The sequence below is a fragment of the Homo sapiens genome, chromosome 17 (assembly GCF_000001405.40).
Source record: "Homo sapiens chromosome 17, GRCh38.p14 Primary Assembly".
NCBI classification, from domain to species: Eukaryota; Metazoa; Chordata; class Mammalia; order Primates; family Hominidae; genus Homo; species Homo sapiens.
The window spans coordinates 73,735,424-73,762,448 of record NC_000017.11 but is presented as its reverse complement, the minus strand read 5'-3'; the positions used below and the strand labels follow the sequence as shown (position 1 = coordinate 73,762,448).

General features: G+C 53.0%; 2 long non-coding RNA genes across 2 annotated transcripts in view, besides 1 other annotated feature; one reads left to right on the top strand and one right to left on the bottom strand.

The window, feature by feature from the left end:
* The window catches only part of LINC00469 (long intergenic non-protein coding RNA 469), a 79,268-nt gene extending 66,089 nt beyond the window's left edge, over positions 1–13,179 (top strand). Inside the window, exons 3-4 of the long non-coding RNA NR_027146.1 lie at positions 1,423–1,514; positions 11,951–13,179. This is a non-coding gene — a long non-coding RNA (long intergenic non-protein coding RNA 469). The remainder of the gene's footprint in view (positions 1–1,422; positions 1,515–11,950) is intronic.
* LOC100134391 (uncharacterized) lies at positions 5,892–24,595 on the bottom strand. The gene is made up of 6 exons (NR_164140.1): positions 24,494–24,595; positions 19,358–19,421; positions 11,722–11,864; positions 11,069–11,404; positions 6,529–6,775; positions 5,892–6,139 (listed from the first exon to the last, which is right to left on the bottom strand). It is a non-coding gene; the product is annotated as an uncharacterized LOC100134391 (long non-coding RNA).
* Positions 26,122–26,634: an enhancer, noted in NCBI's record as "NANOG hESC enhancer chr17:71731954-71732466 (GRCh37/hg19 assembly coordinates)". NCBI's record gives its function as "activates a minimal SCP1, AML or CMV promoter by ChIP-STARR-seq in primed H9 embryonic stem cells {active_cell/tissue: H9 hESC(primed)}" and the evidence as "EXISTENCE:reporter gene assay evidence [ECO:0000049][PMID:30033119]".

Genomic DNA, 27,025 nt, shown 5'->3' with positions numbered 1-27,025 from the left:
CCCATTTCCTGGCTTTGCACTTCCTTGTCCTGACCATCTTCTGCTGCTTCAGCCCCTCCAAAGCCATATCATGATTCTGCTACCCACTCCCTGCATCTGAGCCCTGCCTCTCCCCATCTGCACCACGCCATCTGCCTGCCCCGAGACCTCAGTGGTCTCTCAAGCCAGTCTCCTCATCATCTCTCATTTTATTCCCATTTCTTTCTACCTGCTCTCCTTGCTTCCAGATCCTGCACAGATCCTCTCTCCAACACAGTGGTTCTCAAACTGTGGTCCCAGGACCCAAAGCAGCAGCACGTGGGAGCTTGTTAGGAATACAAATTCTCTGGCCACAGCCCAGCCTTGCTGAATTAAAAACTCTTGGGCTGCAGGGACCAGTGATCCGTGTTTCCACCAGCCCTCCAAATGATTTTGATGCAGTCAAGGTTGAGAACCTCTGTGTCTGGCACATCCTCCCTGTAGCTTCTAGAGTGTTCTTTCTAAAATCCAGGACAAGCCCTCTCATTCTCCTGCCCCAAAACAGCACATACCTCTCTCTTGCCTTCAGAATTAACTTTCAACTCTCTTCTTAAGAACAGTATCCAAGGCTCTTTACCATCTTGCCCACACTTTCCTCTCCAGCCTTCTCCTTTCGACTATGGAAGGCCCGGTGGTTCCAATGTTGCCTTTCTGAAGCCTTCCCCATCTTCCTGGTTGCTCTTCTAGGTGCTCTGAGTCCCTTGCACTGCCTCTCTCCTAGAGATAGTTTTAATGTACCATAATTACTCGGGAACATATTGATCTTCCCTATTCTCAGTGAGGTTCTAGAAGAAAGGATAATGGTCTTACTTAGCATTATATTTCCAGTGCCAGCCACTGGGCCGGTGCAGAGTAGTTGCCAATACGAATCTATTGATGGCAGAAATCAATATAAATCTTCCTAGTGTCTATCAACATCCCAGCCTCACCCCCAGCCATCCTACCAAGCCCACTCATCCTACCATCTTGACACAGCACCCACTGGCTGGACCCTCAGGGCCTCCTGGGATCTCCCTCCATCCCATCGTATTCCTGTGAGTGCTTCTAGGCCAGGTCACTTCCAGCCCAGTCATTCTGCTGTCAAACAACTCATAGGAAGAGTGAAGGTGAGGGCCTTCCCGGGACCCCTTGCGCTGGTGGAGATCTGTTCTCCATCCCAGGGGTTTCGGGGGAGACAACCTCAGTATCTCCTTCAGGCCCCATCCAATGGTATGAATGATTCCCAATTCCCAGAGGAAACATGCCCCTGCTTCAAACTACCCTCCTGTGACTGGACTTAAGGCTGCAGGACAGGGCTTGGGGTGATATTCATTTTGCCTGCTCCCCTCTCCCACTAGATTTACCTTCCCAATGATGTCTGCTTGCACCAATATTAAAATGAGCCTTCATTCCCTGTGCACACAGCAACAGCTCGGCAATCTGGAGGCAAGGTGGGAGGTGGAGAAGCACGGAAACGAAGTCTCTGGCTCAACCAGCAAAAGTGAACCACTCCCCAGGTAGGTCACCAAGGATGGTAGTCATTGTTTCAGTGGGATCTGAGTGATCTAATTAACTTCCAGGGGGTTTCTCAGACCTGTCAACAAACCGGCTTCTCAGGTGAGTTTTGCCAAAGGACGGAGCAGAGATGCACAGAGGGGCTCTTGCCGGATACTCAGGTTCAGGTTTAAGGAGCACAGGCACTTTTGAGGCGGCGATAGAACCAGAGTCCCCAGTTCTCTTGGAGCCACCCTTTAGGGCCTGGCCCAGGCTCCTCTGAGCCCTGAAACCCCTCCCACTTGAGCCCCTCCTGTGTCCTTCAAACTGCAGCTTCCGAGGCCATTGGAAGGTAGTGAAGGGGGCGTGGTGTTTGTTTCTCTGTGACTTCCTGGCTGTGGCTGCAGTGAGCAGTTGACTTGTGTCACACTCATCCTCAGTCATGATTAGGCACACCCACACTGTCCCGCTGACCACACTCCAGAAAAAGAGCCTGCAAGGGTCCCTCTGTAAGTGGAAGCAGCCTCCATCTCATTGGCCCTTCTAGAGACCGCCCGGGTCCCCTTCTGCGATGATGCCACACAGACCCACTCCATCCTCTCCCCACACCTTGCCCTCAGGTCGCCTAGCAACCTCAGGGCGGCCAGCCTGGCCAATCACCTAATCACCTGTGGCTGCCAGCATCCACCTGCCTCCCCAGGCTGGAGGGAGCAGGAACTCAAGTGCTCCCCTGCCCCTGGCTTCACCTCCACCCTTCAATCCCCCCCACTGCCCCAGACCTTACAGAGGCAGCACAGTGACCAGCATTTCGCATCTCACCCTTTGCTCCCTGCCCAAGGCCCACTCTGCGGCTTAATCTGTGACATTTAACATAAATGGTTTTCTATTCCCAGCTGACCTTTAATGGCTTTTATCATCAGCTGTGGTTCCTGGCAGCCGTACAAGAGCTGGTGTCGGCTGCCCGAATCTATTCCAACAGAATACCCAAGGAGAGCCCACAGTTTTCGCCACGTGAAGCTGGGGGGGTGCGCCTGGAGATGTCTGCCGAGACTTGAGCTTGCCACTCTCGGCCCGGAAATATCATTATGTGTTTCAATTAGAATTAGTGGGGAAGCCAGTTATTAAGTGGTTAGTTATTATGGTAATGGAGACACTCCACAGTAGCTGGTGCGGGCCACTCTTGCCTTCCTCTAACGGCCACTTTTTAAATCCCTAATCCCTCCCTGATGCTCTGTTTCCAAGTGCAGTAGGATGGAAATGGGAGGGAAGAGACCAGAAAGAGGTGGGTTTTGCATCCCCCTCTTCCGCTCCGTGCCCCTTCCCCCGCCAAGATACCATTCCCAGCAGGTGTGTGCTGTAGTGACATTAGCAAACCCTCCGCCTGAAATCCCAAGCTGTGTCTTCACACCCTCAGAAGCAGAAGTCATTGTGAGGGAGCGCCCACTTCCACCAACCCCTCCGGGCGTCTTTCCTCCCACTCACAGATGGTCACCGTGTCATCATGGAAAGGATGTGAGAGGACCCCTGTGGAGGTTTGGGTTTTGGCAAAGACCCTGCAGATACTGAAGGTGCAGAGAAGTGAATGAGGACTCTCAGGCTGAAGGGCAGGAGAGTGGAGCTCTGGGCCCATCCTGCGAATAACCTTAGGCAAGTCACATGTCTTCCAGGAGCTCCAGCCCCTCCCTGCATACTGAAGGTTCCGACCAGCTCTCAACCCTTCCTCTGCTCACCTGAGGGACATGGCATTCCCTCCTCAGGGGTGACAGCCCATAGCCGGGTAAATCAGGGATGCTTGCCCAAAGTCACTGCAGCAAAGTTGGGCAGAGGCATGGCAGAGTCTGGAGTGGGGGTCCCGGTACCCTGCTCCCCTCCCTCACTGATACTCAGTCCTCTCTGCCTGGAGGAGATACTTGCAGAGGTGCCTTCTTATCTTGCCTTTTTTTTTTTTTTTAGGCAGGGTCTTGCTCTGTCACCCAGGCTGGAGTGCAATGGCACAGCTCACAGCTCACTGCCGTCTCAACCTCCTGGGCTCAGGTGGTCCTCCTGTTTCGTTTTTTTTTTTTTTTTTTTTTTTTTTTTTTTTTTGTAGAGATGGGGTCTCACTATGTTGCTTGGGCTGGTCTCAAACTCCTAGGCTCAAGTAATCCTCCCACCTCAGCCTCCCAAGTAGCTGAGACTACGGGTATGTGCCACCACACCTGGCTAATTTTTTTTTTTCTCTCTCTTTTTTTTTTTTTTCTGGTAGAGACGGGGTCTCCTATGTTGGCCAGGCTGGTCTTGAACTCCTGGCCTCAGGCAATCCTCCTGTCTCAGCCTCCCTTAGTGCTGGGATTATAGGAATGAGCCATCATGCCTCGCCCCCATCTTGCTTTCAAATATTCCTCTCCCACCATCCCTCCCTCCTCCTTCCCCAGGCCTGAGTAGGTCGGTAGCTTCTCTGCAGTCAACAGGCAGAGCTCACAGCCTTGGTTCCAGCCTTCACCAGCCACAAACCCTGAGGCAAGTGCAGAGCCCCTGGTCCTCCCTTTCCTTATCTGATAACGTATCATAAGTGATGCAAGGGAAGCCATCTACACGGGCTGGCAAGAGGCGAGGACGGTTATTGGTCATGATTATTGCTGTTATTATTTTAAAGACCATCAGAGCGGAAAAAAGAAAAGAAAAAAAACAAAAAAAAAACAAAAACAAAAAAACAGGAAGCAGCCCACAGTGGCTTCCTTATCCTTGAACTCTGACAGGTCTTTAAGGAGGGGAAGGAAAAGAGATGCAGAGACCAAACAGGAGGTGAAAGGGGCAGAACAGAATGGAGATGACTAGGAAGAAAAACAGAATGGGAAGCAAAGAGAGAGAGAGAGGAGAGAAAGGAGAGAGAGAAAGAAGAGAGAGAGGAGACAGAGAAGAGAGAGGAGAGAGAGGAGAAGAAAGAAAGAAGAGGAGGGGAAGGGAAGGGAGGGGAGGGGAGAGAAGGGGAAGGGAGGGGAGAGAAGGGGAAGGGAGGGGTGAGAAAGGGAAGAGAGGGGAGGGGATGGAAGGGGAGAGGAGGGGAAGGGGAAGGGAGGGGAAGGGAGGGGAGGGGAGGGGAAGGGAAGGGAGGGGAGGGGAAGAGGAAGAGAGGGAAGGGGAGGGGAGGGGAAGGTAGGGGAAGGGGAGGAGAGGGAAGAGGAGGAGAGGCCCGTGGGTGGTGGGGTGGGAGGCTGGTGGAGGGAGAGCTGCTTAGTTTGTTTCCTTCTGCTCAGCTGTGCCAACAAAAAAGAAAAGGAATCTGTGAAGCCCAGACAAGGTGGCCGAGTCGCAGTGCCGAAGCGCAGCTCAGTGGAGGAGGCGGCAGGCACAGGGCCCAGAGAAAATTATCTTTCTAACCACTACGTTGGTACCATAATCACCTTCACGCAGCAGCTCTGGTTCCTGGGGGAGGGGCCACTGGAGAGCCACTTGGTTTGATTCCTTTAATCTTTTGACACCGCCTGTCACGGAGGAGTGTGTAATTAGGCCGCACTGTACCTTCCCAGCAGCCCAAGCCGCATGCACCTCACAAGATGAGAGCAGGTGCTACTGGAGCCGCCGGGCCAGCCTGGGCTCTTAATTGGCTTATGTGCTTCTCCTGGAGTCTGTCCTGTTTTTCCAGGTTTGCAGCTACCTCCTGGACCGTGGTGGGGATTGCTCTCTCAAGGGGTCTCTGAGGGACCAGGGACCCTGCCGTGATGCTGGTCTGGGGGCAGGGTGGTGGCAGGTGAACTCTGGCCCAACCAGCTAATGGCCTGAGAATGTGCTCTGCCTGCCCTGAAGAGCTCCCTGACCCCAAAGACCCTGCTGTGCACACATCTGAACCCCCATCCCTGGTGTCTGCACCTTGCTATAAAGAGTCAGCCACGGAGACGTGTGGCGACCGCAGGAGCACCGGGAGGGAGGCTCTCCTCGCCTGGGAAGGGACCAGCCTCTTGTTTTCTATGGTGGACAGGCCAAAGAGATACAGCCTCAAGCGTTTGAGGATTTGGAAAATGGAAGAGATTTGAGGATGGCCAGGAGGGGTTTGGAGCCCTGTTTTGCTCAGCAAAGAGCAGAGTAAAACAAGGCTGTTTATTCAGGCCCTAAATGATGGGGATGCTGGCATCTGCCCAGCAGCCCACACGCTGGGGGCATGTGCTCAGGCAGCGCTGCTCCCTCCTTCTCCCTGGAGCCTCAACCTCTCCTTGGGTATGCAGGAATCTTCCTCTCCATCCCGCAGCGGCAATTTTAGACAAGGGTGGCAACTTTCCCCTCTTCCACAGCCAGCCCCTGCTCAGTAGTCTTCCTGCATGAAAAGCTGAACAGGAGCCCCTGGTCTAATCCCCCATCTGGGAGCAGCGGGGCTTCATGTAAAAGTGTGGAGCCAACCAGAGCAGGGATTGGGGGTGACCTAGGGAGGGGCCACGTACAAGGATGCCCTGGCCCATCCCTGAATGTCCTACACCACTCTGCTAGTCCTGGAAGGCCCAGGCATGGACAGGAGGGCAGGGCACCCTATTGAGGGTCTGCAGGATTCTGGAAGGTTGAATGTCATGGTGATAATCAGCTCAGCTCTGGGGTCCAAACGCCACTTCAAATCTCAGCTTCACCGATAGGGGTGACCATAGGCATGGTTTAACCTCTTTATGCTCTGTCTTCTCCTCTGCAAAATGGGGTAGTAAAGCAATTCTTGAATCATAGAATTGCTGTGAGCACTAAAGCGGATAGCTAAGGCAAGAGCTTGGCATGGGAGACAAGCTCCACAAAGTCAGCTGTAGGGTTCCTTCAGCATTGTCTCATCAAGTCCCTTAACCCCAAACAGGACAGGAGCCCAGGAAGTTTTGAGATCCTAGATTATTCTACCGAAAGGTGGCTTCTAGGTCTCCCAGCCCACACTTCTCCAGGACGCCCATCTCAGCCACCCCAGGTCCCACTTTTTTGTTCAACAGCATTCCCGGAAAGGAAAGCTCTGGCCCAGCCTAAGTTGTAGCAAGGTGAAATACCTTCCCCTGCCCCCTCTAAATAATAGTTCCGGGTCTTCTGGAAACTCACCAGCAGCCACTCTGGATCCCTGTGGCCTGTGGACCTGCAGCATCACTGTCCTCCGAGGGCTTGTGAGAGACACAGCGTCTGGAGCCTCAGCTGAGGCCTGGGGTGTCAGAATCTGCCCCTGGACCAGATCCCCCGAGGATGTGTATGTGCAGAGAGTGTGGGAAGGCTGCTCCACGCCTCCTAGGAGACCACAGGTCTCTCTCACCACCGTGACAAGCTTCAGCAATGTGTCCCGGGGAAATGCGAGCTACCTGCAAGTAAATTATTATTAATAGTTACAGTACCAACATTTGCAAATAATGCCATTTTTGAAAAAGGAAATTAGAGCTGACTCAAAGTTATTCCTATCAAGACATCACTCTTATATGTGCATTCCAACATGCTTTCTTGAAGGGGAATTACTGTCATGATGCACACGCACAGGGGACCCTGTCAGCAGGTCTCCACTAAGGAGGGAGGACCTAACCCACCCTTCCTCCTGAACAGCAGTCCTACCTGCTATGTTCCCAAGAGGTGGTCAGTCCGATGCTGTAGGAGGCAGAATGGCCCAAGGCAGCCACATCGATGCTGGGCAGGCCTCGTTCTTGGAAATTCTTCCTTACATTGGTCTGCAAGATGCCCCCCTGGAACTCTCACCCTTCCTTGCTAAGTCTCTGGCTGCAGATGGAACTAGCCCACCTCCTCTTTCATAGGACACAGCTGTTCATTCCCGTTGCTGCCAAGTAACTAATTGTTACAAACTGAGGGGCTTGCAACAACAGAAACTGATTCTGTCACAGCTGTGGAGGCTGGACGTCCGACAGCAAGGTGTCGGCGGGACGCGTTCTCTCCGAAGCCTCCCGGGGAGGATCGTGCCTTGCCTATTCCCAGGCGTCCCTTGGTTTGGGGCTGCCAAGCTCTAATCACTGCCTCTCTCATCTGTGGTTTTCTCCTCCTCCCTCCCAAATCTCCCTCTGCCTTTCTCTGTCATGACACCTGCCGCTGGATTTGGGGTCCCCCCTGAATCCAGAATCTCATTTTGAAATCCTTAACTTAGTTACATCTGCTAAGATTCCTTTTCCAAATAAGATCACGTTCACAGGCTCTGGCAAGCAGGACGTGCACAAATCTTTTGGGGGCCACTAATCGACCCATAGGAGGTCCATTCAAATATTTAAAGGCACGCTCTCAACCCATCGCCTCTTCTCCACGCAAAGACAAATCCCAGAATCTTTCAGTACATCTTCTGTGTGATCTACCATCAGTCTGACTGACACCCCTGGCCCTGGACAGAATGTCCGTCTCCTCTCAGACAAAGGACTTGAATGATTTTTTTTTTTTTTTTTTTTTGAGATAGAGCCTTGCTCTGTTTCCCAGGCTGGAGTGCAGTGGCGCGATCTTGACTCACTGCAACCTCTGCCTCCCGGGTTCAAGTGATTCTCCTGCCTCAGCCTCCCAAGTAGCTGGGACTACAGGCGCCCGCCACACGGCCAGCTAATTTTCTGTATTTTTAGTACAGACTGGGTTTCACCATGTTAGCCAGGATGGTTTCAATCTCCTGACCTCATGATCCACCCACCTCAGCCTCGCAAAGTGCTGGGATTACAGGCGTGAGCCACGGTGCCCAGCCAAGGACTTGAACGATTTTAACCTTGTAGGATAGGATGAGTTATGATGGGCAGTGGGTGGTGTCATTTAGTAGAGAACTTGAAAAGGGAGGTTCCCAAAAGCAGGGCTGGCATGTGGGTGAGGCAAGAGAAGTCCCTGGAATCTAAGGCACCGCTCTCTGTCAGTCTCATGCAGGCAGGCCCATGAGTGTGAGTGCCTGCTTACATCCACACCCTGGGCCTCGCTGTCCTCTCCCTAGCCCCAGCCTGCCCTAAAGAAGCCAGCTGGGGGACTTCCGGGCCCCCCTCTCTAGAGAAATGTTCCAGAACTGAACCACCCACTGACACGAGTGAGCTTCCTGCGAGAGTGAGGGGTGACTCCCTGAACCTCTGCTGGGTGATCCCCACCGCTGCCACACCAGGTTCCCAGGGGTCGGTCCCATCCCTGCCTGGGGCAGAGTCAGAGAGAGTCCTGGGAAGAGGAAATGGCACATGGTGGAGGGTTCCTTTCCCTGAGGGTCTCAGCCACTGCACCTTATTCACCATGCATGGGAGAGTATCCAGGGATAGTGCCCCCTGGGATTGGCCAGTGTACAGGTTCTGCGGTGGTTCCAGGTATTTCTGGGCACACAACCACCGGAGACTCGGATTCTTTCATGGACCTCCTCTTCTAAGCCCCTCTGGAGGTTGAGGGTGAGTCCTGCCTGGTGCGGTGCCCACCCAGCCTCATCTAGGTAGCCGCTGGCACTGCACCAGTTAGTAGTTTACGGCTGGTCCCCCAGCCTTCCTCCCCCTCTGCCTCCTGGGCTCTTTTAACAACCCTCATTTACATAGCTGTTTTGAAGTTTTGCAAAGAGCTTTTTACCTCTCCTTTAATGGGACCTTCACAATGACCTTGACATTTATTCATGAGCCCCATTGTACCAAGATGAACCTGAGGTGAAGGCAACAAATCCGCTGCCCCGGGCTCCACAGCTCAGAATCTGGGGTCAGGACTGGTCTCCGGGTCCGTCCCTCCCAGTGATCTGCCCTTCCTTTGCCAAGCATCTTTGACTAGATGTGCAGCAGGAGTGCCCAGTGAGTCCAGGGGAGGCACAAGGCCTGCGGGCACAGGCCTGGTCACCTAGAGAGTTGCATCTTCTGACCAAGAGGAAGAATTCATGAAGAGCCAGCCTCCGGGCGTGGCAGGCAAGGGTTTTACCTGGTCATCAAACTTTTTCAAGAGGCACCAAGGAAGCAAATAGCAGGTGGCCAGGCCAGGATGGACATGGTCAAAGTGAGTCAGCTGGTTTCCTGGAGCTGCTAACCCAGTCGCCACCCTCTCCTGCCTTCCAAGTAGCAAATTCTCTGGTCCCGCTCGCAGTCAGCCTGGACCTGGGTTGCTCATTCTTGAAGAATGCTCACTGCTGGGCCTGCCTCTGTTTCTGAGATGAGTCCAGGAAAGCTGGGGTGGTCTCGGTCTGTGTCCCCGTTCCGCCACACCCGACCCCTGGGACAGCTCAGAAATCTGCAACCTTTCACAGCTGGTTGGCTTTCAGCACAAATGGGCAGGTGCCTAGAGCAGCCAGCAGGATCCACTCATCTGAAAACACTTGGGAAGCTCAGGGGAACAGCTCTCCATCCAGGCTGGCGAGAAGTGAGGTGGGCCTCAGCCTGGGCCCAGATTCGTCAGGGTAAATGCCACCTGTGGGAACTCGGGCTCTGCCTGGCAGGGGCCCTCAGAGCCCTTCTGAGATGACTCTTGCTTCTGCTGCCAGCAACTGCGGGTTCCATCTTAGGGAGGGCAGGGAATCAATCCTCCATTAATCCTCGGGACTGGTTCTTTAAGTCCACCTGGGTTTAGTCCTTGACTTCACTATTTACTGGGTGACTTCAAACCAGTGACTCAACCTTTCTGAGTGCAGGCATCCTTCTCTGTTAAGTGGAAATAACTGTAGAACCTCCAACCTTACAGGTTGTTAAAAGGATCACATTAATTGATGGATGGAAAAGTACTTGTAATGCATAAATATCTGGCAAATGCACTTCCTGGTTTTATATATATTTTTTTCTTTTGAGACAGAGTCTCGCTCTGTTGCCCAGGCTGGAGTGCAGTGATGTGATCTCGGCTCACTGCAACCTCTGCCTCCTGGGTTCAGGTGATTCTCCTGCCTCAGCCTCCCAAGTAGCTGGTATTACAGGTGCCCACGACCATGCCCAGCTAATTTTTATATTTTTAGTAGAGACGGGGTTTCACCATGTTGGTTAGGCTGGTCTCAAACTCCTGGCTTCAAGTGATCCACCTGCCTCAGCCTCCCAAAATGCTGGGATTCCAGGTGTGAAAATGCAGTTAGTGTTAATGTCATTACTGTTGCAATGGGAAGCATGCAGAGGGTCAGGCAGCAGCCATGCCCTGCCCACTTACCTACCTTTCTGCTCTCCTCATGGTCCCCCCAATACCAAGTTTCATAGTGCCAAGGCCCACTGCTACTGTTATGAGCGGAAATGGGTCCCCTCCAAATTCATATGTTGACATACTAACTCCCAGCACCTCCAAATGTTACCATTTTTGGCAATAGGGTCTTTAAAAAGATAATCAAGGTAAACCGAGGCCACTGAGGTGGGCCCTAATCCAGCATGACTGGTGTCCTTATAAGAAGAGGATATGTGGACAGAGACATGTGCAGAGGGAGGACCATGGGAGGACACAGGGAGAAGACAGCCAAGTCGCCAACCCTGCCTACACCTTGATCTCAGACTCCCAACCTCCAAAACTGTGAGAGAAGGAATTTCTGTTATTTAAGCCCCCCAGTCTGTGGTGTTTTGATAGAGTAGCCCTAGGAAAAGGATACTGTTATATGACGCATCGTAGGTTCTGGAAAGCATTTGTTCTGTAGGACGTCAATAGGGCTTGTGTGAAAACAGGGTTCTGCAGTCAAAGGAGTCTGAGAACAACCGGGTCGAGCATAGCTTACCAGGTTTTCTTTAGTGGAAGCCTCCTCACAGCCATGACTGTGCTCATGGGTGTTTTGAATCCCTAGGAGGGGAGAGATTTCCCAGCCTTTCTTGAACATGGAATCCTCATCATTGCAAAACACGGGCTTTGGGTTCTGCAGAACAGGCCTTCCAACATGCTGGAAGCCGAGACCAGCTGGAGTCGGGAGGAGGCACAGGGGCGGGGTAAGACCCAGGGCCCTCTGCCTGTGCTGGCGAGTCCCTCCATCTCCCTTATCAGACAAGCAGCAGGGCCAGCCAGGAGTGCCACATTTTATGGCTCTATCATGTGTGAGATCTTGCCCATTAGGGAGAAGCTGTCAACACAAAACATAGATTTCAAGATACGCTTTCTACTCCAGGATTATGAATAACCTCTTCGATCATTAGAACCAGAGCATTTTTTAAAAATCCAATTTGTTTCCCACTTCAGAACCCATTTAGTTTGCTTCTTGCCCTCCCTCTGGGTTAGGGAGGGAGGGCTGGAGGCTGGAGCCTTCCAGAATCCTGGCTCTGGAAACCTTGCACCCCCAGAAATTGTGCAGGTTTTTCATCTGAAACCTTGATTTTCCTAGGAATCATCTGTTATCCATTTCCTATAACCCAGCTGTGTATTTCTGTTGGAAGGTATTACCTTTATAATCAGACAGAGCTTCAGGGAGCCCTGTGGAGTGGGCAGCATCCCCCAGAGGGCCAAGGGGAGATATTCCAGACAGTCTTCCAGCAGAGAAGTTTGGGAAGATGCTGATTTCATCTGTCCAGTCCTAAAGCAATGCACTAATCCAAAATTAAACGAAAACAAAAATATTCACCAGGCAAAGGAGTGTGAAAAATCCCCATTTCTGTCTCTCTCTCCTCATCAGCAGTGGAAACCGGGGCTTCCTAGAAGAAACGATGCACTCCCCACCTCCCTCTGTTTGTGCTGCAGTGAAAACTGACACGAGAGATTCATTGGAACATGTGCCCTCGTTCCACTCTCATCAGCCCACCGCAGGGACAGGAGCTGTTCATCTTTTTGGCTGTGCTCGCAGCCTCCAGAACACTTATGAGGGGCACCTTGTGGGCGCCGTGGTCGGATGAGGCCCCTGGGGCTCTTCCAGAGGCTGGCACTCTCTGCAGTTGTCGCTCACATACCTGCTCAGGCCAGGCCAGGCCAGAGTGGACAATGTCTTCCCAGCAGGCCAGACCAGTCTCCCAGGAGGCTGAGGCTGCTGTATCACTCACCAAACCCTCTCATCTGCCGGCCTGACCCTGTGCTATGCTGGAAATAGCACTCGAGCCAGACGCCCTCCCTGACTTGGACAAGGGCAGTGCCCTGGAAGGAGAGGGCACAGAAGCAGCTGTTTACAGAACCTCCGAGGGCTGCAATGGGGCAATGGGGTGTGCAGGAGAGTGACCAGGAGCCCGGGGCAGCTGGTGACCCACCCCTCCAGGCATTCGTGAGGTGTCAGAAGAGGGGGCCCCTTGAACGGGGCCTGCAGAGATGGCTAAGAGTCCATCAGGCAGATGAAATGATTTGCTTTCTTCACACTTACCAAGCTTAGAAATGACCTCCTTCATGCATGTGAATGACTTTATTCATGTATATGACTCACCTTCCTCATGCATGTGATGATCTTATTGTATGTGACTCACTTTCATGCACGTGATGACCTTATCCATGTATGTGACTCACCTTCATGCATGTGATGACCTTATTCATGTAGGTGATTCACCTTCTTCATGCATGTGATGACCCTATCCATGTATGTGATTCACCTTCTTCATGCATGTGATGACCTTATTCACGTATGTGATTTGCCTTCTTCATGCATGTGATTACCTTATACATGTATATGACTCACCTTCATGTATGTGATGACCTTATTCACATGTGACTCGCCTTCTTCATGCATGTGATGACCTTATTCACATGTGACTCGCCTTCATGCATGTGACGACCTTATCCATGTATGTGACTCACCTTCTTCATGCATGTGATGACCTTATCCATGTATGCGACTCACCTTCTTCATGCATGTGATGACTTTATCTATGAATGTGACTCATTGTTTGTCTTCCCATCCCCCTAAAACATAAACTCAATGAGAGCAAGGCCTTTGTCTACTTCTTTTTAATCAGCATATCCCCAGTGCCTAGCTCAGTACACCATAAGTACTCAAAACTACGTGTTGAATCGTTGGGAATGAAGGCCAAGGGGGAGTCAGGGTGGGAAGGACCCTGACAGAGGGTGACAGGTGCCTGCCCCATCCCACCGATCTTAACAGGAATCACCCCCTGACTTCCCCTCTGACAGGTCCCAGGACGGCCTCACCAAGAGGTGCATGGCCATGACCCATTCACCTTCATAACTCCCAGATGCACCAAGTTGCCATGGAGAAGGCCCAGATGAGGTCCCTGGGCTGCACCAGCTTGCCAGCAGGTACAGAGCAGCGGGTGGGGGCCGCTGGCTGGCCCTGCCACGCACCCCTCAGGCTCCCGCTCCTGCCTCCCCGAGCCTCAGTCCTTTTAGCTCTCATTTGTAAGTGGGCCTCAACCCAAGCGCAAGATTCAGTGGGAATCCGGCCGGGTTCCCCGACGCTTAATTGGAGCTGGGCTCTTCATTACCCGCACACCTGTTCCCCAACACCATATGGTCTGAGGTAAATAGACTATAATTGTTTATCCAGAGTCTGTTCTGCCGTGAGTGAGTGAGTGCAGGGCCGCCTCCGCCGCCACCTCCACCTCCCCCGCCATCACACCTGCCACTGATCCCTCACCGGGCTGCTGAAGGACGAAGCCCCACACAAGGTTAAAGAGTTTACAGCTGTCCCGGCAGAGCCATCTTCCACGTCTGGGGCCCATCTTGGAGCAGCTTCTCCAGCTCCAAGGAAAAGTCCCTGCCCAGCTATGCAACTGCCGGGAGCTTGGCAGCCGGGTCTCTCTGCCCTTCCAGTGTGGCTGAGCAGCCGGGCCCCTCGCTAGCCCTGGGATCATTTATCTCTTTCCCTGTGGAAGCTGGAGGACGTCTGAGAAGGGCCTGGGCTTTGGAGCCTGGAAGGCATGGGCCTCACCTGCATCTCCGCGCGGCCACTTTCCAATTTAGTGGCCTCAGGTGAGTTTCTTCACATCTTAGGCTTTGGCCGCTGCGTCTACCAAAAATCAGGGCATGATTTTTTCTGCATCACATGGTCGTTCATAACAGAAGGCGTTAATGTTCACGGGGTACGTCCTGTTGGGTCAGCATGCTGCTGTGTGCTTTAGAGAAAGGACCTCTTGGAGGAAGGCGCTTTGATTATAAACACTTTACAGAGGAACAAAGTCAGGCTTAGGCGGGTGAACCCACTTGCCCAGTGCTACCCAGCCAGAAACTGGGGGAGCTGGAATTCTAACCCAGTTCTGTCAATTTTGGAAGCTGATCTCCTGACCACCATCCTATATTTACATGATGAGATCATGCATCAAAGGGGCCTGGCCTGGTGCCTGGCATATCGAAGAAAATCAATAAGTGCCCATTCTTTTCTCTCTGCCCTTCCTTCAGTGAACAGATGCCCCCGCCACCGCCACTCAGGCTTCTGGGAGGCATCCAGAGCGCTGGGCTGCCAATGTGCCCTACCCCAAGATACAGTATAAATAGAGCACAGCCCGGTCCCCTCCCCAGTCCCCTTGCCTTTGTTCCTGGCCAGCCCTACCAGGAAGAAGTGGCCCTTTCCCACCATGCAGCCGATCCCCAGATAGTCCTGGACCGCCACGCAGCCAGGCAGAAAAAGGAGGAAGGCAGGACGGCAGGCAACGCCCCAACAGAGCTGAGCTCTCAGCCTCGGAAGGAGTCAGATGAGTTGATCTTAAGAAACAGCAAGGGCCCCTGAGCATTCTGGGGGCTCTGGCTGAAAGCATGACCCCATGCAGGAGGCAGAGTGCTGGGCACCTTGGGGGGAACCAGAGCCACATGAGAGCCTGGACACTCGGGGCACCTGGGACCTCTCTTCAGGGGCACGGGAGAAGGCTGCTCTTCACCATCTCGCCACCTGAGTTTTTCCCTTTCCTGCCCAGAGCTCCTCCGCCTGCCCAGAGCTGCTCCAGGAGGATGGATGGCTTCCCCAAACCCAAGAGAACAGATGCTGTGTCCTCTTAATCTGCACAGAATTGGTCTTTAATATGATGAAGGGCTTCTAGACCTTTCAGCTCTGACGGATCCCCTATGTAGCAGAGTCACTGGCTCTTACCAGAGCCTACCTGGGCAGGCAGACACCCTCAGGTGGGCTCAGAGACGGTCTCACCCCCAGCCAGTCGGCAGCAGCTTCCCCAGCCCAGAGAAAGGATGAGACCCAAGTCCTATCCTTCAAGACACTGTCATCCCCCTGGATAGACAGACACCAAGTTCCCACTACGCACACACTCATCGGTCCACAAAGAGGAGCTCCACACGTGAAGCACATGGCCACAAGGAAGCCAGAAAACCACGGGGAGCAGAAACAAGCAATGCTTGTGGGATAATTGGGGAAGTCTTCCTGCAGGAGGTGCCCCCAGGGGCCTTGAGAGCTCTGATCCCCATCAGTTACCTGCTGGCTCTGTGGAAGGTAGAGAATCAGGCAGGAACAAGAATTGCAACCAAGAAAAAATATATATGAAAAAAATAGGAAAATCTTTTCCTAGCAAGTTTTCCATCTGCCTACGGGGAGACCCTTTGAAGAAGAGCCTGGGGCCTGAGCAGCAGCAGCAGCCGCCTCCCCCATCTCCGGGGAGGGGAAGAAGTTTTAAAAGATACTTAAGCTGCTGTATAAATTGGCCCCTCAGGGGATGCCATGCAGATCTGCCTTGGCCTGATGAGCATGGGGATATCTGCAAGCCCAGGCATCAGGCAGGGCTGCTGGAGTGGTCAGCAGGGTGCCCCCTGCCCTGGGCATGGGAAAGATGCAGTGTCCTGGAAACAAGAGTCCAGCTCCCTGGGAATGTGAGCCTCTGAGGAAATCTCTGTAACTCAAAGACTTGGAGGGCCGGGCACGGTGGCTCACGCCTGTAATCTCAACAGGTGTGGGGCCAAGGTGGGCGGATCACGAGGTCAGGAGTTTGAGACCAGCCTGGCCAATATGGTGAAACCCCATCTCTACTAAAAATACACAAATTAGCCGGGCGTGGCGGCATGCACCTGTAATCTCAGCTACTCGGGAGGCTGAGGCAGAAGAATCACTTGAACCTGGGAAGTGGAAGTTGCAGTGAGCTGAAATTGTGCCATTGCACTCCAGGCTGGGTGACAGAGCGAGACTCCATCTCAAAAAAAAAAAAAAAAAAAAAAAACCAAAGACCTGGAAACTGGACTCAGGTGTTCTGGTCAGGGTCCTGGTTGGGGGCTGGAGCCCTGCATGAAAGGGAAGAGGAAGGAATGTGTCCTGGACTCCTGTTCTATGGCTGGACACGGGACCAGGCACTTTATAGACACTCTCTCATTTAACCTTCGAAGACCTTCCTGCTAGGTATCATTGCTACTCCCATTTCACAGATGAGAAAACTAAGGGCCAGAGAGATGAAGTCACTTGCCCAAGGTCACAAAGCCAGAAGGGGCCAGAGGCGGCATTTGAACCCAAGCCACACACTGTGCCTCTCTTTGAACGTTCCACTTCAGTTAGGGAAGGTGGAGGAGCTGGAGACAGTCCCCAGACCTCTGCAAACTGTCCTGGACTTTGTGGCACAGCCTTGGGCCCTAAGATGCAAGGGACACACAGAGCGGGCAGGGTTTGAGATGAGGGAGAAGGACTTTTCTCCTGGGCTCGTTCCCTTATCAGAACACCTGTGTCCAGCTTCAAAGCCACGGCTGTCACTGCCAGGGCCCCACCCACACCTCCTGGGCACCCAGCAGTCAGCACATGGCACAGACATCTAGGACTCACCTGAGGGCTTCTCTCAGCCCAGGTAGGGGCTGAGCTCAAGGGGCTGGGGAGTGAATGTCCTTGGAAGCAGCCTCGGCCAATGTCAGATGGACTCAGAGGATGAAACCTCCAGGTGCCTAAGTTCCCCAGTGGAATTTGGCCCCACTGCCCATGGCAGTAACCTGCTCAATAGCACAGCATCCTGTATTCACTTCTTCCTGTCCCCATCTCCTTCCCCACTCCCCTACTAGTACTTCCCAAGATCACCTCCCAAAGAAATAAATGCATGCAACCCCTTGTCTTGGGTCTGCTTCTGGGGGAACCCAAGCTAAGCCCTCCCCTGTGCATCCTTCCTGCACCCATCCCTGTGCCTCCCGTCCACCTGACCCCCATGCATCAGGAGAATGAAGGTAGGTTTTCTCCTTGAGGAAACATAACTAATAACAAGATCACAAGCAACCCAAAGACACAGACATCAAATATTACACACCCGGAGTGAGATCCGTATCTCTCTATCTGGAGCGCCGTGCTTTAGAGTGATGGCGCGGCCGCCGACCCTCTCATTGATGAAGTATGTTATAAGTGCTAAGTAATAATAATACTGTAAAATGCCTCAGTGCTCAAGCATGAGCTCTGGGCTCCAGATAAAATGCCAGACAGATAGATTAGCAGGCGGAGGAAACGCTCCAAAAGCCATCTCCCCACAGCTCCCTGGGCCTAATAGACGGGTCCAATCAGCCCACTTCAATTACTACTTGGGGACTATTAGCCAAGAGGCTGATTAAATCCCCTGCTTAAGCACCTGTGCTGTGCAGAGCTGGTGACAGCAGGACAGCAGGACGTGAGAACGAGGAGAATGAGATGGTGTGCGCTTTCCTTCCCTGGGATAGGGGAGTGTGCAAGTCGTCTGGGAAGATCTGGGCAGATCTGGGCTAATCCTGCTGCAGTTCCCCATCTGTCCTTACTGAGCCATGTCCGAAGCCCAGGCCTCCATCCCCCAGCACTGGCTGGGCCCGGAGCAGGGCTGGCCATCCTCTGCTGTCCTCCTTGGCTGACTCCTCTCCACTTTCCATCAAGAGAAAATGGAGAGGCTGAATGAGGCCATGGAGAACCGGAAGGACAGCTGATTTGCTTGTCCTCGGGGGATAATTTGGGGGAAGGAGGTGGTTTTGCCTCAGTGGAGAGCCATCAGAACCAAACCCAGGTGGAGGGGAGCACCAGGCAGTGAGGCCTATCTCAGAGTGAAAGGCAGGAAGAGGGAACGATGGCCAAAGCATTAGACAAGGGCCCTTGAGGACTGTGGGCCCCAGAGGCTAGAACTTGAGTAGGGGCCATGAGAAATGCAGAGAAGGAGAGGTTCCAACTCCCAGATACTGCCTTCCACAGGGGCTGGGGGACAGGTAAGAGCACCCCAGGAGCCACAGGTGGGTGACTGTCAGCCTCAATCTCCACTGGCCCCCAGACACCTGCTCCCTGAGCCCCATCTGTTCCAAGGTATAAAAGTTCAGATGACAGCTGTCGCTGCAGTGGGAGGGGCAAGGCCTTCCCCAATGGAAATGTATCATGTGTGTCCTGCTGAGCCAGGGAATCTTTTTTCATATAGGGCCTTTGACCTTCAGAAAAGTATTTGAATCAAGGAGTGCGGGAGGAGGAAAAGGACGAAGAGAGAAAGGGGGGAGGGAAGGAAGAGGGGGAGGGGAAGGAGAAAGCAAAGAAGAGAAGGAGGAGGAAGAGGAGCGGGAGGAAGGGGAGGAGGGAAAGAAAGAGGAAGAGAAAGAAGAGGAGGAGGAGGGGGAGGAAGGAGAGCGTGGGAGAAGGGAGAGGAAGCAGAAACAATTTACGCTAAATTTTATATTTGAGAGAGAACGCAAGGAAGCATTTGATTTTTTCCTAGTCCATCTGAGAACAAAACAGTGTGAATGTTGCTGAACAAGTGTTTTTTAAAAATGAAAAACAGAGAATGTAAAATCGTATCCAGGCCTCCCAACAAGTAATATCTAATGCTCACAACTGGGTCTGCCGATCCGAAGGGACAGGGCTGTGTGAGGGAGGAGGTGGGGAAGGGGGTACCTTTGACAACAGGCTAGGAAACCTCTGGGTCCCAGAGACCATGAAGCCGGAGGAACTCGCCCCTCCTTGTTGAAGAAGAACATATAAATGCTCCACATATGGAAACTCAACTTGTAAACTCTCATTACTCATGAGCCGGAGGTGAGCAGATGGGAAATGAAACGGCACCAGCAGCAAGCCGGGGAGCCCAAATGTGAGCGTGAACCGGCGCGGGGAGGCCGAGCCTGGGAGGGGCAGCCAAGGGCGGGAGGAGGCGGAGGTGGGGCCGCGGAGCAGGAGCAGGAGCGGCCCATGGGGGCTGTAACCGGAGGGGCCTGGGATATGGGAAAGACACCAGCAGGGAGGGCCGCTCACCTGCAGGTGGGCACAGCGGGAAACATGAGTGAGAGGCTCTTTCTTCCTTTTCATTCCAGAGGGTCTAAGAGAGAGGAGAAGAGGTGCCTGTGGATGGCAGAACAGACCCCGCCTGGGCCAGGTCTGGGCTCTGCTGCCACAACCGAAGTACATCCCACAACATTCCAAATTCCTCCGTAACCCTCTTTCAGGTTTTTATTCTAACAAAGGAGACGCCAGACTGGGGTCCTGCTCCGTGGAAACAGGTCTCTGCTCTGCCTGGGGGCCCCTCTCTGCTTTCTTCCGTGTTCCTTGCTCTTCTCCCATATTCCTTGGGCTTCCACCCAAGCTTCAGAAGCCTGCCTGGTCACCTCAGTGGGATATGCGGCTTGGCGCATGAATCCGTCTGCTAGGGCCGTCATGACAAAGTGCCGCAGGCTGGGAGGCTTAAACAACAGAAATTTGTTCTCTCGCAGTTCTGGAAGCTGGAAGTCCGAGATCAAGGTGTCGGCAGGGTTGGTTTCTTCTGAGCCTCTCTTCTCCTTGGCTTGGAGGTGGCTGTCTTCTCTGTGTGTCTTCACATGGTCTTCCCTTTGTGTTTGTCTGTGTCCAAATCTCTCCTTCTTAGAAGGACACCAGTCATACTGGATGAGGATCCACCATCATTTTAGCTTGATCATTTTTTTTTTTTTTTTGAGACGGAGTCTTGCTCTGTCGCCAGGCTGGAGCGCGGTGGTGTGATCCCGGCTCACTGCAACCTCTGCCTCCCAGGTTCAAGCGATTCTCCTGCCTCAGCCTCCCGAATAACTGGGAGGCATGCACGGCCACGCCCAGCTAATTTTTGTATTTTTAGTAGAGACGGACGGGGTTTCACCGTGTTAGCCAATATGGTCTCCATCTCTTGACCTTGTGATCTGCCCACCTCGGCCTCCCAAAGTGCTGGGATTACAGGCGTGAGCCACCGCGCCCGGCCTTGATCGCTTCTTTGAAGACCCCCCCATCTCCAAATGCAGTCGCTTTCTGAGGTGCTGGGGTTGGGTGTCCACATCTGGATTTGAGGGGGTTGCAGTGCAGCCCATGGCAACACCCAGCAGAGGAGATGCATAACAAGGGCAGGGCGGGGAAGGTAAGAGGCAGAGGTTTGGGAGGCTGAGGTGGGAGGATCACTTGAGGTCAGGAGTTCGAGACCAGCCTGTCCAACATGGTGAAAACCTGTCTCTACTAAAAATGCAACAACAACAACAAAAAAAATTAGCCAGGCAGGGTGGCGGGCACCTATAATCCCTGTTACTTCTTCTAAAAAGAAAAAAGAAAAAAAAAAAGAAAGAAAAGAAGAGAAAAAGAAAAAGGAGGCAGGGGACAACTGCACAAACAGACCCCCTTTTTAAGCCCCCAAGTGATGGTGCTAATGGTCACCAGGGCAGAAAGTGGGCAGCCCCTCATCCAGGCAGACCTCAATTTACAACTCATGTGGCTTCTGTTTCTCCTTCTCCTCCTGCTTGGGCAAGGCCTGCTGTGTTCTGCCACCCTAAGTCTCAGGCAGCAAGTGGGACAGAGGTCTGAGAAGGAGGGGACCCGGCTGTTGTGGTCAACAACCCCCTTCCACCTTCTCCCGTCCTCAGGGCTCAGTGGGGAGCAGGGAGAGGGCAAGACCTTCATCAGCTTAAGTGACAATGATTGTCGGGGAGACTTGAGGCCAAGCCGCTGAAGGTGAAGGGAAGAGGAAGGGAGAAAAGGCCAGGGATACTTGGTAACGCTCAGAAGAAGGGAAACCGAGTCCATCTCTGCCACATCCCGGCTGTGGAGTGCTACACATGCCTTCTGGTGTTTCAAACCCTCATCGCCGCCATGAATGAGGATGGCATCATCAGTGGCTCCATTTTCAGAAGAGCAAACAGAGGCCCAGAAGGGTCTGGTGACTTTCTAACACCATGACCGGCAGGTGGAGGACGTGGAGTTTGAACCTAGGTTTGTCCGACTGGCCAGCTCCCTTTCTGCTGCGTTTCCTGCCCTGCACTGCCAGGCTGTGCCTGTGTGTTAGGTCCCCAAGCGGGAGGGTGAGCCCCCGAGGTTACCAGATGTCAATATCAGGCAGATCGGCAGTCCAGGACCTCAGGGAAGGTTTAGAGGACGGCACAAACCACAAGTCAGAAGTGAGCCCAAAGTCAGGAAACCCGGGATGACTGAATGCTGGGAAGAACAGGTGGTCTCCCAAATCTAAGAGGAAAGGCTAATTTGGTCAAAGCCCCAAACATGGGAGCCCTGAGGTGTGCTCTCGAAATGCATCTGTGTAGGTCTTGCCCTAACCCCATGCAGTTGCAGGCTCCCTGGGCCAGGAAGTGAAGGTCAAAACTATGCTTGCAGCATGATCCAAGTCCAAACGAGGGGGACACAGAAGTGAGTCCTTAATGTCTCAAGTTCCCTCTATTAAGGAAGACAGTCTCCTTGAGGGATCAGCCAGGTCACAGCAGACAGGAAGAAGCAGTTGAAGATGCAAACTCAGGTCACCCAGCACTGACCTGGCCCAGCCATTGCTCTTGGGAGCAACACACTGTTGGGTAACCAGGAAGGAAGTTCTTAACAAGAGCTGGGGTGGAGCTGTAGTAGAACGGGGTCACACGTCTCCTCCGGAATGGCTTTTCAGCATTAATAACCGGGTGGGGATGCAAGGTCAACGAGTGAGCTCTCTCTCTCTAGCCCATCTATGTCCAGGATAACGGTGATGACAATAAGACCAGTGCCGGGCTTCCTGGGTTTACTGTATGACCTTGGCCGAGGGACTTAACTTACCTATGACTTAGTTTTCTCATCTGTAAAACGTGATAAACATAGCACCCACCTCACTGATGAGCCAACCCAGGCAAACATCTCCCAGCCTGCCTGGCCCACAGTGAGCACCTCTGAGCGTTAGTTGTCAGTGCGTGCAGCGGACAGATGTTGTCCCGCCCTCCCAGCAGCTGGTAGAAGGTTCCTCTTAGAGTGAGAGAACTGCCTTGCTTTTGAAAACTCCTTGATATGGTAAGGCCCCTGGTGAAAAAAGCTAGGACTTCAGAACCCGATGGGGGATTAACTGCTCTGTAAAAGACAAGGGAGGAGTGTGTTGGTTGCACTGGAAGGGGAGGAAGGACAGAGCCAGGGTCAGGAGGGTGGGGAAGCCAGGGAGTGCAGAAGGCTGGGAGGTTGCCCAGGGATTGTGGAAGGCTGGGAGGTTGCCCCCACCCTGCACCCCTCGAGTCTCACTAAACTCACAAAATTCTCCAGGCCAGTGGATGGTTCTGGGGAAAGGGTGAAAGGCTGTGTCTTGTATCTGTGTCTGCCCAAGTAAGGTCCCCAGTGGCCTCAGGCATGACACTGAGGTTTGAAGCAAGGTTTCCTAAATCTCCAAGGGGTGAGGGATGCTATATTTACCACTGGGCTTCAGCTGGATCAGCTAGAGGCCAAAAAAAGTGAGCCACACAACAGAACCAGCTTCCTATGGACACGTCAGAGGGGGAAACCAGCATCTCAATAAAACCAAATCAGCTCCAACCTGAGGTCTCTGCCTGCTGGCTGCAACACAGCCCTCAGCTACCACCCTGTGTAAGTTTTGTCGCATTTCAAACAGCAAAGACAGTTGGATGTCAGAGACAGTTTGAGTCTCCGACTTTTGTGGAATTCCCAGTGCGAGAGCCTGCGGGCTCAGGGAAAATTTCCCCAGTGGCAGTGCTTTGCTCCCAACATGCGCCTCGCCTCCCAGCCTCCCCGCTATTGAATCCAGCATGATTGGTTCTGGGGCCCATAATGGAATTTTATCAGGGATTCCTATAACTGGATTGCTTATTTGCAGCCTTCCGCCGGCAGCAGCTCCAGATAAAGAATGCAGAGTATGTGCTTCAGTGTCACAAACTGTGCCTAGCCACCATCCATCATCCTGTCAAGACATCACTCCAGACAGCCCGGCTTCAAGCAGAACCAGGTTGGGGATTTTCCTCCCAAGAATAACAAACAGCAGCTAAGTCAGGTTAGGAGCCTCTGCTTCCCCCCGATCCCTTCATTACAGATGAATGAATTTTGGGTTTCCCTACGTTGTCCAGCTAGTCCTCCTCCATTTCCTCAGGGCGTAGAGCAGCAAAAGTCACCAACCCTCATCCAGTTCAAGAAGCCTCTAAATGTCACGTAAGTTTATGCAACCCTTGGCAGGTAGGATATGGAGTTTGGAATAGCAGAAATTCTTTGCAAGTAGAGAGCATTTATAAAATTCATCCACGTACCTTATCCTGTTGATCTTTACGGCCACCCTATAAGGCAGGGATTGTATTCCCCAGTTGCCAGTTGAGCTGAATGAGACTCAGAGAAGTTAAGTGAGTTCTCCAAGGTCACATAGAGTCAGGGGAAGTTGGGGTCTGCTCCCAGTTCTTTTGACTCTAAATCATGCACTCCTGGTACTCCTTATGTTGCAGCTATTCTTTCTTCCCCATACTCCTCCTCTCCTCAAACTGTGTCTCTCTGTTGCTATCTGTCTTTCCATACCTAGTCCCGAGCATACAGTGAAGGTCTGACCATCTCAGAAGCTGCATGGAGGGAGGGTCTGGCCATCTCAGAAGCTTCATGGAGGGAGGGGCTGGCCATCTCTGTAGCTGCATAGAGGGAGGGGCTGGCCATCTCAGAAGTTCCATGGAGAGAGGGGCTGGGCATGTCACTGGCTGCATGGAGGGAGGGGCTGGCCATCTCAGAAGCTGCATGGAGGGAGGGGCTGGCCATCTCAGAAGCTGCATGGAGGGAAGGGCTGGCCATCTCAGAAGCTGCATGGAGTCGGGGTCTGGCCATCTCAGTGGCTGCATGGATTGGGGGACTGGCCATCTCTGTAGCTGCCCTTGATTGTCTCCAGAGAGGCACTGACTGATCATCGGCGAGTCTGCCTTCCCCTCCTCTGAATCATAACCAACCAGGATCAGCGAGGCTGGAGCTATGAGGGGGTTGCTTAGAGTGATCTAGTTCTCCTCTTTGATTGGATAGATCCAGGAGCCAGCTGAGGCCAGCACAGTTCTCTCCCTAGTGAATGTGACAATAGGCCTGGGTCCTGATTCCCCACATCCTACTGCCTAACATGATGCACCCATCATCTCCAACCAAGAGACAGGGATCAGAGACTCAACATGTTAGCAAACTACAACTCACCCACATGCAAGCCAGCTGTCCAATGGGAATTCTCCTGATTGAGTGATGGGGTGGACTGAGGTTTCACACTTGCTTCCTCCAGTGATGCAGAGCACCATTTCCAAACCCAAATAGTCCTCTGGCTCCCAAAATGAGGGAGAAGATAGGAGGGGAAGGAGGAGCTAAGCTGCACCCATTATCAGTGAGCACAGGTGCAGGAGAGAGGGGGTGCCAGACACATCTCCACCTCCATCCCTGGATCTGTGATTGACAGGCGCTCATGTAATTCACAGAGGCCAAAGGGGATGAGGTAGGCAGAATAACAGCCCCCTAAAGATACCCATGTTCTAATCCCTAGAACATGTGAATGTTAACCTTATATGGCAAGAAAAGGATTTTATAGATGTGATTAAGTTTAAGTTCTAAAAATGGAGAGGTTATCCCGGATTATCTGAGTGGGTCCGATCCGCAATCACGAGACGGAGGCAGAGGCAGATGATCGACCCCAGACAGGAGAGGAGAATGCAGCAGGGCCCGCAGAGGCAGAGGCTGGAATGGAGCAGCCCCAAGACAAAGCATGCTGGCCACCACCAGAAGCCAGAGTACATGAGGCACAGACCCTTCCCTGGAGCCTCCAGGGAAGCACAGCCCTGCTGACACCTTGATTTGCGCCCATTGAGACTTATTTTGGACCTTTGGCCTCTAGAACTGTGACAGAATACACTTCTGTTTTTTACACACTTTGTGTGTAAGACTGTGTTACCGCAGTTGCAGGAAACTCACACCAGGGACTAGAGCAGCACTGGCGGTGACCGCTGGTGCTGGCAGATCTGTCCAAGTGGACCAGGCCCTGGTTCCACAAGTGAGGCCCTCATGCAGAGGGCGGGTCTGCACACCTGGAAGGGAGGTGGTGATTAGGTAATGAACAGTTCTTCCATTCCTGTCCCAATTGAACATGGTGGTCCCCTCTCTCCTATTCACCCTCGTCCAGCCTCCTCCCCACCAACCCCATCTGCCTCCCGAAAGGGCACTTACCTTCACCTTGCTGCTGCTCTGATGTATTTGTTTTTGCACTGCTATAAATAAATACCTGAGCCTGGGTAATTTCTAAAGACAAGAGGTTGAATTGGCTCATGGTCCTGCAGGCTGTACAGGAAGCATGGCGGCATCTGCTTCTGGGGAGGCCTGAGGGAGTTTTACTCATGGTGGAAGGCAAAGTGGGAGCAGGCGTCTTACACGGCAGGTGCAGGACCCAGAGAGAGAACAGGGAAGTGCCACACACTTTTAAACAACCAGATGTCACTAGAACTCACTCACTGTCTCAAGAACAGCACCCAGGGGGTTGGTGTTAATCCATTCATGAGAATCCACCCCCATCATTCAGTCACCTCCCACAAGGCCCCACCTCCAGCACTGGGGATTACATCTCCACCTGAGATTTGGGTGGGGACACCGATTCAAACCACATCACCCGATATTTACCCATAGGTCTCAGGGCTTCTGCCCTCTCCCCAGGGTGTCAATATAGGCTAAGTCTATGGTCTGTCCAGGAACCCAAGCCTGAAGCAGGGGGCCTGACTGTACATTGTGAAGTCTGACATGGGTGGTGAGTGTCCGCCTCACTCCCTGCCACCTCCCTGCATCGGAGGTGAGTGGAGCCAACTCACCTTCTTCTTCCTCAAGGCCCCACTGAGACCCAGGACCAGCCCCAGGGTCTTGTGAACTCTCCCTTCTTTCCTGCCTGTCCCCACCTGCCACACACACACACACACACACACACACACACACACACAGAGAGAGAGTCAAAGGTTAAGAGGCACTTTTTTCTTTCTTTCTTTCTTTCTTTTTGTGATGGAGTATTGCTCCATCACAAAAGAGATCTTGGCTGCAGGCTGATCTCGGCTCACTGCAAACTGTGCCTCCTGGGTTCAAGTGATTATCCTGTCTCAGCCTCCTGAGTAGCTGGGATTACAGGTAAGCTCCATCACAGCCAGGTAATTTTTGTGTTTTTAGTAGAGATAGGGTTTCACCATATTGGCCAGGCTGGTCTCGAACTCCTGACCTCAGGTAATCCCCCCGCCTCAGCCTCCCAAAGTGCTGGGATTACAGGCATGAGCCACTGTGCCCGGCCAAGAGGCACTTGTTAAAGACCACATCCTTACAGGTGGAGAGGGTGCCTGGAGGGGGGATGCTACAGGGTGAGGAGGTGGTGGGCAGAGCTGTTCACCTGAAAATGGCACGCACATGGCCCGGGGGTAAAAGTGGTGAGTAAGGGGGGGCAGGGCAGGAGGGCATCACGGGACTCAGCTTGAAGGTGAAGAGTGAGGGAATAGGAAGAGAAGGAGGGCCAGGGCCACAGGAGCAGAGTTCAACATAGAGAGAAGCCAGCCTCCTGGATCAGGTGCCTGTGTAGTGACCCCTCCCGAAGGAGGAAAAGGTGGTCAGCAGAGGAGATGAGCCGGTAGAAACCAGGCAGCCTTTGGAGGTGCCTGGCAACAGGGAGCAACAGTGGAGTTCATGCGAAGTGGCTGGGCAGCTGAAACACGGTCCAGA